The sequence below is a fragment of the Homo sapiens genome, chromosome 19, assembly GCF_000001405.40.
Source record: "Homo sapiens chromosome 19, GRCh38.p14 Primary Assembly".
Classification (NCBI taxonomy): Eukaryota; Metazoa; Chordata; class Mammalia; order Primates; family Hominidae; genus Homo; species Homo sapiens.
The window spans coordinates 4,784,099-4,802,334 of record NC_000019.10 but is presented as its reverse complement, the minus strand read 5'-3'; the positions used below and the strand labels follow the sequence as shown (position 1 = coordinate 4,802,334).

The window sequence follows — 18,236 nt, the reverse complement described above, 5'->3', positions numbered from 1 at the left end:
CCACACCTGGCCAAAATCAATGTATTTTCTTTTCTTTTTTCTTTTAAGAGATGGGGTCTTGCTATGTTGGCTAGTCTTGAACTCTGGGCCTTCAGTGATGATCTCATCTCACCTTCCTAAGTGGCTGGGATTATAGGCACATGCCATTGTGGCTGGCTCTTTAATATATTTTCTATTGCTTGAGCCAGTTAATATTTTTCTTTAAATAGGCTTTGAAAATCAACCTTTATTTTTTGGGAATTAGATCTTGGTGATGGTTGTACAGCCTTGTAAATGTACTAAAAGCCCCTGAATTATCCATGTTAAAATGGTGAATTTTATGTTTTGCAAATTATATCTACATTAAAAAATGTAAAAGCCATTAAAAATGTAAATGCTGACCAGGCGCAGTGGCTCACGCCTGTAATCCCAGCACTTTGGGAGGCTGAGGCGGGCGGATCATGAGGTCAGGAGCTCGAGACCATCCTGGCTAACATGATGAAACCCCGTCTCTACTAAAAATACAAAAATTAGCCGGGCGTGGTGGCGGGCGCCTGTAGTCCCAGCTACTCGGGAGGCTGAGGCAGGAGAATGGCGTGAACCTGGGAGGCGGAGCTTGCAGTGAGCGGAGATCGCACCACTGCACTCCAGCCTGGGCGACAGTGAGACTCCGTCTCAAAAAAAAAAAAAAATGTAAATGCCATTCAACTCGTATTTATTTATTTGTTTGTTTGTTTGTTTAGAGACGGTCTCTCTCTGTCACCCAGGCTGAAGTGCAATGGTGCAATCACAGCTCACTACAGCCTCCACCTCCTGGGCTCAAGCAATCCTCCCACCTCAGTCTCTTGAGCAGCTGGGATCACAGGTGCACACCACCACACCCAGCTAATTTTTATATATTTCTTGTAGAGATGAGGGGAGTGGGTCTCACTAAGTTGTCCAGGCTGGTCTCGAACTCCTGGGCTCAACCAACCCTCCCACCTCAGCCTCCCAAAATGCTGGGATTATAGGCATGAACCACTGTCCCTGGCTGTGGGGCTGCACCTTAGATAATCCAGGAAGACTTCATGGAGGAGATGACATTGGATCAAGATCATTGCTTTAATCGACATCAAATGATTAATAAGTTAATAATTCAAATTAATACATTTGAATTAATATCAATAATTAAATCATGTCTATTAACAGACATTCAAACACAAGCTTTAATAGGAGATATCAAGGCACAGGGTGGAGGGAGGGGGTTGCTCCAGGGAATTCTGAATGTCCCAGTTCATGCAGAAGTTCAAGGTGTCTTGTACAACCCACTGGGGAAACAGGATCTGGGACCGGTGCGGGCACATTCTCCTGGCCCAGCACAGGGGCGGTGCCACCCACATTCGGCCCGGGTCTTGCCTAATACATGTTTTGGTAAACACTCGGTCAGAGCACCCTCTGTTTTTTCCAGTCCCGAAGCTCCCCGCAGGAATCCACACCCCCGCCCCACCCCTCTCGGGACACGGATTCAATGTCCCTGGTGGGTCATCTGGCCTTTTCGGCCTGTGATGTGATTCGAGCGGTGCTATCTTTAACCTCGGGCAGGGGTGTTCTCCCCCGTCGACGTTGCTCAGATAACAGTCCTGCAATTCCATGGGGGCGGCGGCACCCGGGGTCTGGCAAAGCCATAGGGGCCTGCTTGTGTCCCCTGCTGCTGCCCCAAGTAGTCAGAGGAGGATGTGAATTCCCAACTCGTTCACTGTTCGCTTGCTCAGCCCATATTTACAGGCCACCTGGCGTGGGACAGACCCTGGCGTGGGTGCTGAGGACGCAGCAGTGACTGACACCCTCAAAGTGCTGGGGAGGGTCTAAGAAAGTCACTGAGTAGATGAGCGAATGAGCAGAACTCCAGGTCCCGACTTCAGTTCTGTGGAATCAGACTGGCAGCAGGCTGGGAAGGGCAGTCGGCGAGCTTGGGGGGGCCCCCACTTCCCCATCTCCCAGGTCAGGCTTGGCTGCCTGGCTCTCGACACCTTCCAGCAGGGGGTTAAGCTTTGACCCCGATGCTTCCGGGCTGGGTAAGCTTAGACAAGCCCCCTCCCCTCTCTGTGAGCCTGTTTCTCTGGGATCTGCTGGATCAGCCCTCACCTGAAGCTGGTAGAGCTTTAAGATGGCCTTCCTCTTAAGAGGGCTGTTTTTCCTACTTTATTATTATTCTTATTTTTCTCCCGTCCATGGGACTCTGACATGTTTTTCCGCCTTTAGAGGGCTGCTGTGTAAACAGGCAGGACATTTAACCACAAACGACTTGGCTCTCCCTCTTGGCTGTGTGGCCTTAGGTACTCCACTTGAGCTCTCTGAGCTTTTTTCTTCACTGATCAACGGCAGGTAGTCATTTTACTATTGTGAACATTTTTTGCTACCCTCCATGGCATTGATGGCCCCATTTTTTTTTTTTTTTTTTTTTTTTTTTTTGAGACAGAGTCTTGCTATGTCACCCAGGCTGGAGTGCAGTGGCGCGATCTCGGCTCACTGTAACTCCGCCTCCCGGGTTCACGCCACTCTCCTGCCTCAGCCTCCCGAGTAACTGGGACTACAGGCGCCTGCCACGACGCCCGGCTAATTTTTTGTATTTTTAGTAGAGACGGGGTTTCACCGTGTTAGCCAGGATGGTCTTGATCTCCTGACCTCGTGATCCGCCCGCCTCGGCCTCCCAAAGTGTTGGGATTACAGGCGTGAGCCACCGCACCCAGCCAGATGGCCCCATTTTACAGCAACTCCAGTTACACATGGATTACAGACCCTCTGGGGGCCCTCCTCAGGCCAAGCCAATTGGCACATCCCACTCCTGGGCTACTAGGATTGGGTCATGGAAGAACATGGGACCCAGGCTGGTCCAATCAGAGCGTATCTTGATGTTTTTAGTTTTTTGTTTGTTTGTTTGTTTGTTTGTTTTGTTTTGTTTTGAGACAGAGTCTTGCTCTGTTGCCCAGGCTGGAGTGCAGTGGTGCAATCTCGGCTCACTGCAACCTCCATCTCCCGGGTTCAAGCGATTCTCCTTCCTCAGCCTCCCAAGTAGCTGGGATTACAGGTGCCTGCCACCGTGCCTGGCTAATTTTTTGTATTTTTAGAATAGATAGGGTTTCACCATGTTGACCAGGCTGGTCTCGAACTCCTGACCTCGTGATCCACCTGCCTCGGTCTCCCAAAGTGCTGGAATTACAGGCGTGAGCCACCGCGCTCGGTCACGAATCTTGGGATGTGACTGGGAGGAAGACGCTCTCTTTTCTCCTGGTCATCACCTTGGGACACCCACCCCACCCCAGTCTCAGAGGAGCTAGCAACCAGGTCTTTAGGAACAACTGGGATCTGCTGGATCGGCCCTCAGCTGAAACTGGTAGAGCTTTAAGATGGCCTTCATTAGAAGGTATGAGGCTAAAGTTACAATCCCCAGGTCTGAGCTTTCAAAGCAAGCATTTAGCTCAGATGATTTTTGTGAGTGATTTTCTTGGGGTTAGGGGGCTGAGTCTGGCAGATCCCCGAGGGAAACAGACGCTCAGGATGCGGAGGCAGGATGGCCACCTGCCCCAGGGATGGGAGAGCTTGTGCCAAAACAACACCAGAAAGCAGGGGAAAGGGATCCATGTGTCTGGCGTCCCGGATGGAGAATCAGCACAAGGTATGAACTCTGACGGTCCTGGGTTCCAATCTCGACCCTTCCTTCATGCGCTGTGTCCTTAGGCATTTTTCTTTCTTTTTTTTTTTTTTGAGATGGAGTCTTGTGCTCTGTCGCCCAGGCTGGAGTGCAGTGGTGCGATCTCGGCTCACTGCAAGCTCCGCCTCCTGAGTTCACACCATTCTCCTGCCTCAGCCTCCCGAGTAGCTGGGACTACAAGCGCCCACCACCATGCCTGGCTAATTTTTTGTGCTTTTAGTAGAGAGACGGGGTTTCACCGTGTTAGCCAGGATGGTCTTGGTCTCCTGACCTCGTGATCCGCCCGCCTCAGCCTCCCAAAGTGCTGGGATTACAGGCGTCTGCCACCGCGCCCGGCTGTCCTTAAGCATCTTAATGTCTCTTAGTAGCCTCAGTTCCCCCGCCTGCCATACCGGACCTGCTTTGTTTTGTTTGTTTGTTTGTTTGTTTTTTGAGACGGAGTCTCGCTCTGTCGCCCAGGCTGGAGTGCAGTGGTGCGATCTCGGCTCACTGCAAGCTCCGCCTCCCGGGTTCACGCCATTCTCCTGCCTCAGACTCCGGAGTAGCTGGGACTACAGGCACCTGCCACCACACCCGGCTAATTTTTGTATTTTTAGTAGAGACGGGGTTTCACCGTGTTAGCCAGGATGGTCTCGATCTCCTGACCTCGTGATCCGCCCGCCTTGGCCTCCCAAAGTGCTGGGATTACTGGCGTGAGCCCCTGCGCCCGGCCCTGCTTTGTTTTTTTGAAACAGGGTCTCACTCTGTTGCCCAGGCTGGAGTGTGATGGTGCCATTAAGGCTCACTGCAGCCTCAAACTCCTGGGCTCAATCAATCCTCCTGCTTCAGCCTCCCCAGTAGCAGCTGGGACTACATATCACTACACATGGCTAATTTTTTTTTTTTTTTTTTTTTGTAGAGACAGGATCTCACTTTGCTGCCCATGATGGTCTCAAACTCCCAGGCTCAAGCGATCCTCCAGCCTCAGCCTCCCAAGGTGCTGGGATTACAGGTGTGAGCCACCGTGCCCGGCCAGGACTTACTTTAGATAGGTCCTACTTTGGCTTTTGACTGGGAGAAAGATGCTCTCTTTTCTGCTGGCGGTCATCTTGGGACACCCACCCCACCCCAGTCTCAAGGGAGCTATCAACCAGGTCTTTAGGAATAATTGGGATCTGCTGGATCAGCCCTCACCTGAAACTGGTTGAGCTTTAAGATGGCCTTCATCTGGTCGGGTGCGGTGGCTCATGCCTGTAATCCCAGCACTTTGGGAGGCCGAGGTGGGCGGATCATGAGGTCAGGAGATCAAGACTATCCTAACACGGTGAAACCCCATCTCTACTAAAAATACAAAAAATTAGCCGGGCATGGTGGCAGGTGCCTGTAGTCCCAGCTACTCGGGAGGCTGAGGCAGGAGAATGGTGTGAACCCGGGAGGCTGAGCTTGCAGTGAGCCGAGATCACACCACTGCACTCCAGCCTGAGCGACAGAGACTCCGTCTCAAAAAAAAAAAAAAAAAAAAAAAAAGATGACCTTCATCTTAAGAGGGCCGTTTTTCCTACTTCATTATTTTTCTTCCATCCATGGGACTCTGATATGTTTTTCCTCCTTTAGAGGGCTGTTGTGTAAACAGGCAGTGCATTTAACCACAGAAAATGGTGCCTGGCATACAGTAGGTGCTCAATAAATGCTCACTAGTACTGTGTCTCCCAGGAGACAGCTTTGAGAGCACCTGCTGATTCAAACCCACTCCTTTGATGCAACACCAAACAGGCATACAACAGCCCAACAGCTGTCACCTGTGGGACTGTCCAGTCCCAAATGAAACAAGACAGCAGGTGTGTGAAGGCAAGAGATGGGAGACACCCACCCTCGGGAGAAGAGCCCTCCAACCCAATGCACCATGGAAGCAGCATGCGGTGCCCCACAGCAGGGCCTCTCCCCACTGCCACGTGAGGCGGGCGCACAGGGATTAACCGGACGTTCATATCGACAGCTCAATCCTTATCCCCAAGGGGGCCTGAAACCTGCCTGGCACATGGCAGGGGCTCAGCAAAATCCCATGGACCCAGCTAACGGGGTGGTGCTTTCTGGTGGGGGTTTGACTGTTCTGATATGGAGAAAACCAGAATTTTAGAATGGAACAAGTTTACACAAGGAGGTGAGATGAGATGGCAGATAAAGGAAAACAAAAAAGGGCCAGGCGTGGTGGCTCACACCTATAATCCCAGCACTTTAGGAGGCCGAGGCGAGTGGATCACAAGGTCAGGAGTTTGAGACCAGCATGGCCAATATGGTGAAACCCCGTCTCTGCTAAAAATACACAATTAGCCAGGCATGGTGGTGTATGCCTGTAGTCCCAGATGCTCAGGAGGCTGAGGCAGGAGAATCACTTGAACCCGGGAGGCAGCGGTTGCAGTGAGCCGAGATGGCGTCACTGCACTCCAGCCTGGGTGACAGAGCAAGACTCCATCTCAAAAAAAAAAAAAAAAAAAATGTAGAGACAGAGGTCTTACTATGTTGCCCAGGCTTCCCAAGGTGCTGAGATTACAGATGTGAGCCACCGTACCCAGCCTATTTTTTATTTTTGTAAAGACAGGCTCTCACTATGTTGCCCAGGCTTTTTTTCAAAGAGCAACATACTGTTTTTCAAATGAAATTTTACACAAAGCCCCAGTATGTAACATAGAGGCCAGGTGCAGTGGTTCATGCTTGTAATTCCAGCACTTTGGGAGGCTGAGGTGGGAGGATCGCTTGAGTTCAGGAGTTTGAGACCAGCCTGGCCAACATGGCAAAACCTGCCTCTACAGAAAATACAAAAATTAGCTGGGCATAGTGGCAGGTGCCTGTAATCTCAGCTACTCAGGAGGCTGAAGCAGAATTGTTTGAACCCAGGAGGCAGAGGTTGCAGTGAGCTGAGATCGCGCCATTGCACTCCAGCCTGGGGGACAGGGTGAGACTCTGTCTCAAAAAAAAAAAAAAAGCCCCAGTATGTAACACAGAAACCCCTCTGGCTAGGGGAGGTGGCCCTAGGGCTCTCTGTTCACTCACACCAATGCCATGGACTGACTCACCCACCTCCGACTTCCCCAGTTAACCCACGCCAAGGACGCATCAGGCAGGCCATTCTCTTTGAGTATCTTTTTAATGACTTAAACACCAGCACGGAGACTCGCCATGTAAACGGCCTCATTTCTGTGCTCTGTGCTTTGGGAGGGACAGGGACACCATTTCCCACCTCGGCTGAGTTAAAACCTGTCTTGTAAATTAATAAATAATTTCCTAACACGGCAAAAAAAAAAAAAAATCCAAACGAGACCTAGTTTCCATCCAGGGACAGGATATTTCTGGACACCCCCGGTCACTGCTCCTCCTAAGGGCCTGGCCGTGGCTACTGCAGGGAGGATGCAGTGAGAATGGCTTCCCTGCTGCTGTTTGCTGCTGTCTACGCTGGCCAAGAACCTGCTCCCGTCTGCCTGGGCTGATGGAGTCTCGCTCTTGACAAAAATCTTGCTGGGGCAGGTCCTCTGGCAGCCCCAGCACCTTACCCTGAGTCACGGGAACCTGAGACTTTGTCCAAACCTCGGCTGGAAGGCTGGTCTTGGCACTCGACGTCTTAGCTAGTGGATTTATCGCATTAAGACTGTACTTGGGCCTTTTTCATGATGACTTGGGTCTCAATCCTTGGAGCAGCTGAAAGAACAGCTCGGGCCACCTGTGGATGCACCCACAATGAAATCAGAGGCCACTGCAAGGCAGAGTGGCCTGCAGTTTTAACTCGGGCACTATGGCAATGCAGACCCAAACCAATTGTGCCAGTTCTTTGCTGGGTGGCAAAGTGTTTTCAGGCTTTGTGGTCACTCCTGATTTCTGTTTGGAAGCACAGTTCTCTCTCTAAGGAGAATGGAAACTTGGAAAGGCCTGTAAAATCGGAAAGCCTGTAAAAGGCCGTAGAGTGGAGATGTATAAAAATGTACGGTCACCCATGTTTTAGGGGTTGACACCGTGGACTTTTATCTCGCTCACCAAATTCCTCACACATACAGCTCACTCCCTGTGCCCTCGGCCATCTCAGGCACCACAAAATCCTCACTGCTTGAAATTCACTTATGGAGTCCAACAAACAACTTTCTTAAAAAAAAAAAAAAAGGCAGTAAAATCTCAGAATTTCTGTGCAACGCTTGCAACCTGCCCACTTATTAAATAAACAGAACACCAAACCAACCGAAAGCTATGCAAGTGGCAGGCTGCCCTGGGCAGAGCCCTGCCTGTCTGCCAGGGACTACGGTGGCACGGGAGCAGGGCGCGATCATGCTGGAAGAAATGAGAGGTGGTCTCATTCCCTGAATCTCAAACTCTCATCTCAGGAGCCCCCAGTCCTAACACTGTATTCAGCGGCTGGAGTTATCTGGCCAGGTAAAGGGACGAGGGAAGGCAGACAGTCCTCAACTTCTTCCTGTGTTTCTAGCAGGGAAGGAACGCAATGGCTTCAGTCCCTCCGCCTCTAGGTAACAAGGCAAAGGCCTCCCTAACCCAGGCAGACAGGATGTGGGGAAGGTCTTGTGTCTTTTCCTAACTCAGAATGAGTGAGCGGGCTCCCGGAGAAAGACTGTCCTCTTAGCACATGACCCCGCAGGCTTCTAGCACCAAAGGCTCGCTAACACCTCCGACCCTGTCTGCAGGTAGAGGGGATGGGAGGCAGAACCCTTCTCCTGATTGGTGCCTGAAGGAGGCAAGAACGAGCATCTGCTATGCCGCAGCCGGATTTCCCCCATCTCAGCAGGAGAGGGGAGAGGTGAGGGTGCAGGCGTTCTGGGCAGGTCAGTGCAGTTCGATGAACGCCTCCAGATCTTCCGGGATGAAGCCCTTGTAAGGGATCTTGTTCTTATCCAGGGCCCGGGCCGCAAGGCACTGCAGGGTCACGTAGTTGAAGGGCTGCATGGTACCCCTGGCCAGCAGCTTCTCGTCCAGCAGCTCGTAGGCCGTCTTCTTGAAGGCATTGGTGGCGTCCATGTGGGCCCCTGCTTCGATCAGGGCATTCATGATGGCCGGGCAGTTGTTCTGGGCTGCTATGTGTAGCGGGGTGTTGTTGTCAAAATCCCTGCTGTCCGGGTCGGCCCCGCAGTCGAGCAGCACTTTGACCACGTGCAGGGAGGGGAATCTGCCCACGGGATAGCGGCCCACGTTTGTGGTGTCCTTGTCCACAGCCATGTGCAGAGGGGTGAAGCCGTTCTTGCCCCTGGGCGCGCACTTGAGCAGGCGGTAGACGGTCTGGTGCTTCAGGTGCTCCTGGCTGGGGGTGCACTCCACTTTCTCCAGCAGGTAGAGCAGGTGGAGGATGATGGCCAGCGCCTTGGTGAACTGGGCTGAGTCTCCGGGCTCCCTGGGCAGCTGCAGGGCCCGTTCCACTTCCCGGACCCCTTTGGTGAGAACCCCCATGAGGTCTGCAAAGCCGATCTGGGTGCCCAGGCTGCCTTTGGCGGCCCGGTCCTGAAGCACGTAGGAGAAGAGTTCCGCGAAGGAGAGGAAGCTGCTGGCGGTCATGGGGCTCAGAGGCTCCAGGTTGCTCTGTTGCATGTCCAGGGCGTACTTCCACAAGCGGATGCAGCGCTCGAAATTGCCCGAGTCGGCGTACACGGCACCCCTGTAACGGATGTAATAGGAAGTGTCCGGGTGCGAGGGACCGAGGATGCGCTCCCGGATCAACAGGGCCTGCATGCGCATCTCATCCGGGTCGGTGATCAGCGCCTCCAGCTCCTCGGTGGTGTTGACCTCCCTGGAATAGTCATAGGCCAGGACCAGCTGTGGGGGCTCCGGTTTGGGCAGGTACTCGCCCCCCTGGTGACGCAGCTCCATGGCCCGCCTCCAGTGTTTAAGGGCCCCAAGCAGATCTCGTTTCTTATCCACATACGTAGCTCCCAGCAATTCCAAGGCTTCCACGGCAGCTTCCCGGCTGGTGGGACAGCAGCTTTCGTAAGATTCCCCGTTCAGTGGTTCCTCTGGGGAGGAGCTGCAGCACGGAGCCCCCTGAGGCTGCGCACACCCCTGGCTGGTGGAGGGGTCTTCTTGGGGCAGCCCAGGCTGAGCCTCTCCCCCTGCGACCTGCTCCTGGCCGGGCTGCTCCTGGATGAGGTACTCCACGATGTTGGTGTGGCCCGTCACGCTGGCCGCGAGCAGCGGGGTCATGCCGTAGCCGTCACGTTCCATGCGGGCCTTGCACCCCAGCAGCAGCTGCAGGATCTCCAGGCTGCCGGACTCGGCGCAGTCATGCAGGGCCGTGTTGCCCTTGGCGCTGCGCCGGTTCACCTGGGCGCCCTGCTCCAGCAGGTAGCGGGCGATCTCACGGTGGCCCTTGTAGCACGAGATCATGAGGCACGTGTGGCCGTGCCGGTTGGCCACCTCCAGGTCGGCCTGGTGCTCGCCGACCAGGTAGCGCACCACCTCCAGGTGGCCGTCGAAGCAGGCGGCGCGGAGAGGCGTGGAGTTGGTGCGCGTGGTGCGGTTCACCGAGGCCCCGCGGCGCAGCAGGCTCCGCACCACGTCCAGGTGGCCGGCTGCGGAGGCGGCCCACAGCGGCGGCGCGCCCTCGATGGTCTCGCCATCGAAGTGCACCGAGCCACCGGCCTCCACGCTCGCGCCGCACCGGTCCACCAGGTACTCCACCACGTCCAGGTGGCCGTAGCGGGCGGCGATGAGTAGCGGCGTTCCCCCGCCGGCCACCTCGCCCGTCAGCTCGTCCAGTTCCTCCCGGCTCCGGCCGCTGAGCAGCTTCTGGAGCAGCTGCAGCTTGCCATCACGGGCGGCGTTGTACACGGCGGTGCGGAGGTCCATGGTTCGGGCCTCCGCCAGGCCATGGGCCGGCCGCCGGGGGACGGGGAGACGGAGGATCAGAGCCCGGACGGGCGGGAGGCAACCTTCACCGTCCCCCTCGCCGCCATCTTAGGGTCTCCTCGGGCGGAACAAAATGGCTGCCGCGACCCGACGGATGGCAGCACGCCGGGAAATGGAGTCCTTTGCGCGGGCCCACTCCATAGAACAGAAAAGGAATCTTGGGGGCTCAAGACTACACTTCCCCAAAGGCCACAGGACAGCCCCTGAGAGCTGTGAGCGCGCGGCATGGTGGGAATTGGCGTTCCAGTCGCAGCGCATGGCATCGGAAGCTAGCAATTTGAGGACTACAATTCCCGTCATGCAGCGTCACACGACCTAGCTTGTGGGAACCGGCGAAATTTGGTGACGTACTTCCCGTGGCTATCTCTGCGTCAGAGCGTATAGAAAAAGCAGGCGCGATACCCTTAAGGACTACATTTCCCAAAAGGGATCACGAGCGACTCTGAGCCAATCAGGACCGAGACCGAAGGCTAAAAGCGACTAGAGGGGACGCGTCTGTTTTGGGCTTGGAGCACGGGCAAGCGGCCCACCGGCAGGGGGCGCCCGGAGGAGGCCGAAAAGCTGGACGGGGCGAAAACGTTTTGAGCTGGGAGAACGGTAAAAAATGACGCGCTCACTTCTTATTCTCACATTCATATATTCATTTATTCATTTACATACATTTATGTATATTCTAGTATGTGTCAGAATTTCCTTCTTTTATTTACGTATTTATTTTTATTTATTTCTTTCAATAACTTTGTGGGGTTTTTTGGTTTTGGTTTTTGTTTTTGAGACAGCGTCTCGCTCTTGTTGCCTAGGCTGGAGGGCAATGCCGCAATCTCGGCTCACTGCAACCTCTGCCTCCCGGGTTCAAGTGATTCTCGTGCCTCAGCCTCCCGAGTAGCTGGGACTACAGACATCCACCACCACGCCCGGCTAATTTTTGTATTTTTGGTAGAGACGGGTTTCGCCATGTTGGCCAGGATGGTCTCGAACTCCTGACCTTGGGAGATCCGCCCGCCTCAGCCTCCCAAAGTGCTAGAATTACAGGCGTGAGCCACTATGCCCGGCCTGACGTGCTGACTTCAATTCCTTTGGATAAAGACCCAGAAGTGGGATTCCTGGATCACCTGGTAGTTTTATTTTTAAATTTTTCTTTGGAACTTCCATACCATTTTCTATAATGGCTATACTAATTAAAATTACCATCAGTAGTGTATAAGTGTTCTCTTCAAATCCTTGCCAACGTTTGTTACCTTTCGTCTTTTTGATGATAGCTATTCTAGCAGTTGTAAGGTGATCCATTCCCTGGCATTTTTTGACAACAATGAATTATATTATGAAAAAGAAATCTTTGGTGACCCGAATTCTTTATTTTTAAAGTTTATTCGAGGTGTAATATATATACAATAAAATGCATTTTTAATAAAGAGGACAGGTTTGGCCGGGCAAGGTGACTCACACCTGTAATCTCAGCACTTTGGGAGGCTGAGGTGGGAGGATTGCTTGAACCCAGGAATTCGAGACCAGCCTGGGAAACATAGCACATCTCTACAAAAATAGAAAAATTAGCCGGGCGTGGTAGCGTGCACCTGTTGTCTCAGCTACTCGGGAGGCTGAAGTGGGAGGATCGCTTGAACCTAGGAGGTCAAGGCTGCAGTGAGCCGTGATTGCACCATTGTACTTCAGCCTGGGTGACAGAGGGAGACCCTGTCTCTAAGATAAATAAATAAAAATAAATAAAGAGAACAGGTGTGACAAACATGCAGCTATGTAGCCAGTATCACAACCAAGATGTTCAACAGCGTCTTCATTCAGAATTGTTATCTCATGCCGGCCGGGCGCGGTGTCTCACGCCTGTAATCCCAGCACTTTGGGAGGTCGAGATGGGTGGATCACGAGGTCAGGAGATCGAGACCATCCTGGCTAACACGGTGAAACCCCGTCTCTACTAAAAATACAAAAAATTAGCCGGGCGTGGTGGCAGGCGCCTGTAGTCCCAGCTACTCGGGAGGCTGAGGCAGGAGAATGGCGTGAACACGGGAGGCAGAGCTTGCAGTGAGCCGAGATCGCGCCACTGCACTCCAGCCTGGGCGACAGAGCGAGACTCCGTCTCAAAAAAAAAGAATGTTATCTCATGCCCTGTTGATCAACGCCTTTGTCCACCCGCAGCCACTGGTAACTGCTGATCTGTTCTCTGCGTTTCATACTAACAGCACAGAAACGGAAAAATGCAGTATGCGGCCTCTGGGGTCTGCAGCTTTCATTCAGCACAATGCATTCAAGATGCATCTATGCTGTTACGTGTATTAGCAGTTCGTTGCCTTTTATTACGGAGCTGTATTCCATGGCAAGAACGAGCCACCATTCTTTTATCCATTACGTGATGGTTCTTTCCAGTTTTAGATGATTACAAATAAAGCTGCTATAAACTTCTGCGTACAGGTCTTTGTGTGGAAATATGTTTTCATTTCTCTTGGGTAATGCCTACGAGTGTAAGTATTCTTTTTTTGTTGTTGTTGTTTTCTTTTTCTTTTTTTCTTTTCTTTTTTTTTTTTTTTGAGACGGAGTTTCACTCTCATTGTCCAGGCTGGAATGCAATGGTACGATCTTGGCTCACCACAACCTCCACCTCCCGGGTTCAAGCAATTCTCCTGCCTCAGCCTCCCAAGTAGCTGGGATTACAGGCATGTGCTACCATGCCAGGCTAATGTTGTATTTTTAGTAGAGACGGGGTTTCTCCATGTTGGTCAGGCTGGTCTCGAACTCCTGACCTCATGATCCGCCCGCCTCGGCCTCCCAAAGTGCTGGGATGACAGGCGTGAGCCACCTCACCTGGCCACCAATTGTTTTTTGATGCTTTCTCATGTGTGGTACAACATGAAGAAATGCCTCCAAATAGGATTTCATGGCATATTTGAAATGTTTTTAATGAACAGTTCAACCATTTGAAATATACACACACATACCCTGAAGTTTTTTTTTTTTTTTTTTGGCGGGGGGGAGATGGAGTTTCACTCTTGTCGCCTGGGCCGGAGTTCAGTGGTGTGATCTTGTCTCGCTGCAACCTCCACGTCCCAGGTTCAAGTGATTCTCCTGCCTCAGCTTCCCAGGTAGCTGGGACTACAAGCGCGCGCCACTACACCCAGCTAATTTTTGTGTTTTTAGTAGAAATGGGGTTTCACCGTGTTGGCGAGGCTGGTCTCGAACTCCTGGCCTTAAGTGATCCACCCACCTCGGCCTCCCAAAGTGCTGGGATTACAGGCGTGAGCCACCATGCCTGGCCACTTCATTGTATTTTAATGTCCTTCCACAGATGGCAGTGTCTTGCAATATAATTGTTCTTTCCACGAAGCAATTACAGGATTTATTTTAAAAAATTAGAGGGACTGTGGTCCAATAACAGGACAGCAGCTTAAAGTTGCATGTTAAATGTCTACTTTTGAGACTTCCACAGTGCACCTGGGACTGGCCATAAGACCATTTAGGGGCATGAGAAGCTCCAGCCAGATGGACCTTGGTCAACCCCCGGGACACTCTTTTTGCCTGTTATAGTATTTGGCACCGTAGGGAGGCTAAGCGTTTTGAGTGAAAATACTTTACGAACCATTTGCCTCTCAACACAGACAAGAGGTTAATTCTAAAAGCTGAATTCCTGGATTCAACAACCAAGTCCACGGCCAAACAGCTGCATGGCTTTGGACAGTGGCCCAAGCTCCCTGAACATAGCTTTCTCATCTGTAAAATGAGAACATAGGAGCGTGAGAGAGAAAACATGTCTAAAAGTGCTTTGTGGCCAGGTGCGATGGCTCACGTCTGTAATCCCAGCACTTTGGGAGGCTGAGGCAGGAGGATCCCCTGAGGTCAGGAGTTTGAGGCCAGCCTGGCCAACACGGTGAAATGCAGTCTCTACTAAAACTATAAAAATTAGCCAGGCGTGGTGGTAGGCGCCTGTAATCCCAACTACTCAGGAGGCTGAGGCAGGAGAATTGCTTGAACCTGGGAGACAGAGGTTGCGGTGAGCTGAGATCGTGCCACTGCACACCAGCCTGGGTGACAGAGCGAGACTCTGTCTCAAAAATAATAATAATAAATAAAAATAAAAAATAAAAAAAGTGTTTTTTAGGCCAAGTGTGGTGGCTCAATCCTGCAATCCCAGCACTTTGGGAGCCCGAGGCAGGCAGATAACCTGAGGTCAGGAGTTCAAGACCCACCTTGCCAACATGGTGAAACCTCGTCTCTACTAAAAATAGAAAAATTAGCTGGGCATGGTGGCGGGCGCCTGCATTCCCAGCTACTCGGGAGGCTGAGGCAGGAGAATGGCTGGAACCAGGGAGGCGGAGGTTGTGGTGAGCCGAGATGGCGCCACTGCACTCCAGCCTGGGCGACAGAGCGAGACTCCGTCTCAAAAAAACAAAACAAAACAAAAAAACTCCCAAAACACAACAACAACAACAAAAACAAAGATAACAAATAACAAATGCTCACAAATTCACTATTTTTGTTACTATGTCCCACTATGTTCTATGTTTCCTGGGTTATTCAAGTCCACTGCACCTGCCCAGTGGTACCGGGATACTGTGTGCTGGGGTCCCCCTGCACGTTCCTTCCGACTATCCTGTTCTTTTTTATTTGTTTGTTCTTTGAGACGGGGTCTTGCTGTGTTACCAGGCTGGAGTGCGGGGATGTGATCTCGGCTCACTGCAACCTCCGCCTCCCGGGTTCAAATGATTCTCCTGCCTCAGCCTCTCAAGTAACTGGGACTACAGGCGCACACCACCACGCCCAGTTAATTTTTGTATTTTTAGTAGACGTGGGATTTCATCATGTTGGCCAGGATGGTCTTTATCTCTTGACCTTGTGATCCACCCGCCTCAGCCTCCCGAAGTGCTGGGATTACAGGTGTGAGCCACCGCGCCCAGCCCCCATACCCTGTTCTATGGCTCCTTGGTGGTAGCTGGAAATCATTCTTGGCTTGAATATTTACACCACAGGAAATGGGCAAATGCTAAAAATCAGCAAACCTCCTGCCTCCAACCTCCTCCCTCCAACCTCCTCCCTCCCTCCAAGCTCCTCCCTCCAACCTCCTGCCTCCAATCTCCTCCCTCCCTCCAACCTCCTCCCTCCAACCTCCTCCCTCCCTCCAACCTCGTCCCTCCCTCCAACCTCCTCCCTCCCTCCAACCTCCTCCCTCCAACCTCCTCCCTCCAACCTCCTCCCTCCCTCCAACCTCCTCCCTCCCTCCAACCTACTCCCTCCCTCCAACCTCCTCCCTCCAACCTCCTCCCTCCAACCTCCTCTCTCCCTCCAACCTCCTCCCTCTAACCTCCTCCCTCCAACCTCCTCCCTCCTTCCAACTCCCTGGGAAGTTGCAGTGAGCCAAGATCATGCCACTGAACTCCAGCCTGGGCGACAGAGAGACTCCGTCTCAACAAAACAAAACAAAACAAAACAAACAAACAAAACAGAATTTACCCCTCCAGAGTGTGCAGATGTTGGTGTATACTGACTCACAAGAGCTGATCGTTATATTTTCAGGATTTTTTTTTCCTACCAGTTGTTAATCATGGCCAATATTGAAAATTAAGACTGAGCACTGTGGCTCACACCTATAATCCCACTATTTTGGGAGGCCGAGGTGGAACGACGATCCTTTCAGCCTATTTTTCCCCCCGTAGCATACATCACTTTCCAACCTACCCTGCTGTATAATTAACAAATTTAGAATGTTTGTTCAGGGACTCTTCTCTGTCGTGTTCACTGCTGCATTCCTGTTTCTAGAACAGAGTAGGTGCTCAATAAATATCCGTGGAAGCTGGGCGCGGTGGCTCACGTCTGTAATCCCAGCAATTTGGGAGGCTGAAATGGGCGGATCACCTGAGGTCAGGAGTTCGAGACCAGCCTGACCAACATGGAGAAACCTCGTCTCTACTAAAAATACAAAAATTAACCAGGCGTGACAGCGCATGCCTGTAATCCCAGCTACTCGGGAGGCTGAGGCACAAGAATCGCTTGAACCCGGGAGGGAGAGGTTGTGGTGGGCCGAGATCGCGCCATTGCACTCCAGTCTGGGCAACAGGAGCAAAACTCCATTTCAAATAATAACAATAATAATAATAATAATAATAATAATAATAAATATCTGTGGAATGAATAAAGTCATCACCCCAGGAAGCACATTGTAACCACAGCACCACTCTGACTACTATTCTGTGGGGCGGGCACCTTCTGGAGGTCTCCACTGCTTTATTTTCTTTCATCTGATTTTTAATTTTTTTCCTGCAGCCCCGCCGGTTTCCAAGGATGCAACTATGAAGAGACACAGTGGGGGCTACGATTGGGTCGTGACTGTGGCCCACGCCAGGCGAGCGTCCCCGCCCCAGCCCCTCTGCCATCTGCGTGCCTGTTCTCCCGCTACCTGCCCCCGCGCCAGGATCCAGGCTTGCAAACGTCCCCATGCCATGCGCAGGCACATCTCGGGCGGCCAGCCAGGCACACGCTGCGGGGTGTCATTAGCTGCAGTGCCGCCTAAACGCGGCGGCCCGTGCAGAACCACGGCCAGGCCACCTGCACGGGCCAGGGAGGTGATGGGGACAGCGAGAGACATGCCAAACCCCACTGGGGGGTTGGGAGGGGAGGCGCTTTCATCCTAAGGTGACTTCCGTTTTTTTTTCTAATAAAAAAATATTTTAAACATGGGGATAAATAGAGAAAAAGACAAAATAGACCCCATCATAGCAATGCCAAAGATGAGACAGATTTATTTATTCCATAAATATCTACTGAGAGGATATTGCGTGTCTGCACCGATTCCGGAGCTGAGCTAGACCAGGGAGCAAAATAAAACAAAACGGACCCTTAAAAAAACATTTAAGGCTGCGCGCGGTGGCTCACGCCTGTAATCGCAGCACTTTGGCAGGCCGAGGCGGGCGGATCACGAGGTCAGGAGATCGAGACCATCCTGGCTAACACGGTGAAACTTCATCTCTACTAAAAATACAAAAAAAGAAATAGCCGGGCGCGGTGGCGGGCGCCTGTAGTCCCGGCTGCTCCGGAGGCTGAGGCAGGAGAATGTCATGAACCCGGGAGGCGGAGCTTGCAGTGAGCCGAGACTGTGCCACTGCACTCCAGCCTGGGCAACGGAGCGAGACTCCGTCTCAAAACAAAAAAACAAAAAAAAATTTTTTTAATTTCAATAGCTTTTGGGGTACAAGTTGTTTTTGGTTACATGGATGATTGGTAGTGGTGAAGCCTGGGATTTTAGCGCAGCCGTCACTCAGGTAGAGTACATTGTACCCAATGCGTAGTTTTCTCGTTTTGCTTTTTTCTTTTCTTTTCTTTTCTTTTCTTTCTTTTTTTTTTTTCTTAAGACAGAGTCTTGCTCTGTTGCCCAGGCTGGAGGGCCGTGGCAAGATCTCGGCTCACTGCAACCCCCAGCTGCTGGGGTCAAGTGATTCTCCTGCCTCAGCCTCCCAAGTAGCTGGGATTACAGGCGCCTGCCACCATGCCTGGCTAATTTTTGTATTTTTAGTAGAGACAGGATTTCACCATGTTGGCCAGGCTGGTCTCAAACTCCTGACCTCAGGTGATCCACCTGCCTCGGCCTCCCAAAGTGCTGGGATTACAAGTGTGAACCACAGCGTCTGGCCCCAGTATGTAGCTTTTTATCCCTCACTCTCCACTCCCTCCCCGCTTCTGAGTCTCCACTGTCCAT

The 18,236-nt window shown here is 52.1% G+C and overlaps 1 protein-coding gene and 1 long non-coding RNA gene across 2 annotated transcripts, besides 5 other annotated features; one reads left to right on the top strand and one right to left on the bottom strand.

Moving 5' to 3' along the window:
* Positions 1–1,061: 1,061 nt before the first annotated feature.
* On the bottom strand, positions 1,062–10,601 carry FEM1A (fem-1 homolog A). Its single transcript, NM_018708.3, has one exon. It carries the CDS (start codon positions 10,478–10,480, stop codon positions 8,471–8,473), a length of 2,010 nt encoding a protein of 669 aa, NP_061178.1. The 5' UTR covers positions 10,481–10,601; the 3' UTR covers positions 1,062–8,470.
* Positions 8,977–9,633: an enhancer, noted in NCBI's record as "H3K27ac-H3K4me1 hESC enhancer chr19:4792714-4793370 (GRCh37/hg19 assembly coordinates)". NCBI's record gives its function as "activates a minimal SCP1, AML or CMV promoter by ChIP-STARR-seq in primed H9 embryonic stem cells {active_cell/tissue: H9 hESC(primed)}" and the evidence as "EXISTENCE:reporter gene assay evidence [ECO:0000049][PMID:30033119]".
* Positions 9,634–10,290: an enhancer, noted in NCBI's record as "NANOG-H3K27ac-H3K4me1 hESC enhancer chr19:4792057-4792713 (GRCh37/hg19 assembly coordinates)". NCBI's record gives its function as "activates a minimal SCP1, AML or CMV promoter by ChIP-STARR-seq in naive and primed H9 embryonic stem cells {active_cell/tissue: H9 hESC(naive and primed)}" and the evidence as "EXISTENCE:reporter gene assay evidence [ECO:0000049][PMID:30033119]".
* Positions 9,921–9,980: an enhancer, noted in NCBI's record as "active region_13780". NCBI's record gives its function as "activates an Ori minimal core promoter by ATAC-STARR-seq in GM12878 lymphoblastoid cells {active_cell/tissue: GM12878}" and the evidence as "EXISTENCE:reporter gene assay evidence [ECO:0000049][PMID:35858748]".
* Positions 10,291–10,948: an enhancer, noted in NCBI's record as "NANOG-H3K27ac-H3K4me1 hESC enhancer chr19:4791399-4792056 (GRCh37/hg19 assembly coordinates)". NCBI's record gives its function as "activates a minimal SCP1, AML or CMV promoter by ChIP-STARR-seq in primed H9 embryonic stem cells {active_cell/tissue: H9 hESC(primed)}" and the evidence as "EXISTENCE:reporter gene assay evidence [ECO:0000049][PMID:30033119]".
* Positions 10,511–10,780: an enhancer, noted in NCBI's record as "active region_13779". NCBI's record gives its function as "activates an Ori minimal core promoter by ATAC-STARR-seq in GM12878 lymphoblastoid cells {active_cell/tissue: GM12878}" and the evidence as "EXISTENCE:reporter gene assay evidence [ECO:0000049][PMID:35858748]".
* Positions 11,043–17,270, top strand: LOC124904620 (uncharacterized). Its single transcript, XR_007067103.1, has 2 exons — positions 11,043–11,137; positions 16,808–17,270. It is a non-coding gene; the product is annotated as an uncharacterized LOC124904620 (long non-coding RNA).
* The last annotated feature ends 966 nt before the right edge of the window (positions 17,271–18,236 follow it).

Bases quoted from the DNA above. Each gene is read 5' to 3' on its own strand.
- FEM1A (NM_018708.3), bottom strand. From the start codon at position 10,480: ATGGACCTCCGCACCGCCGTGTACAACGCCGCCCGTGATGGCAAGCTG.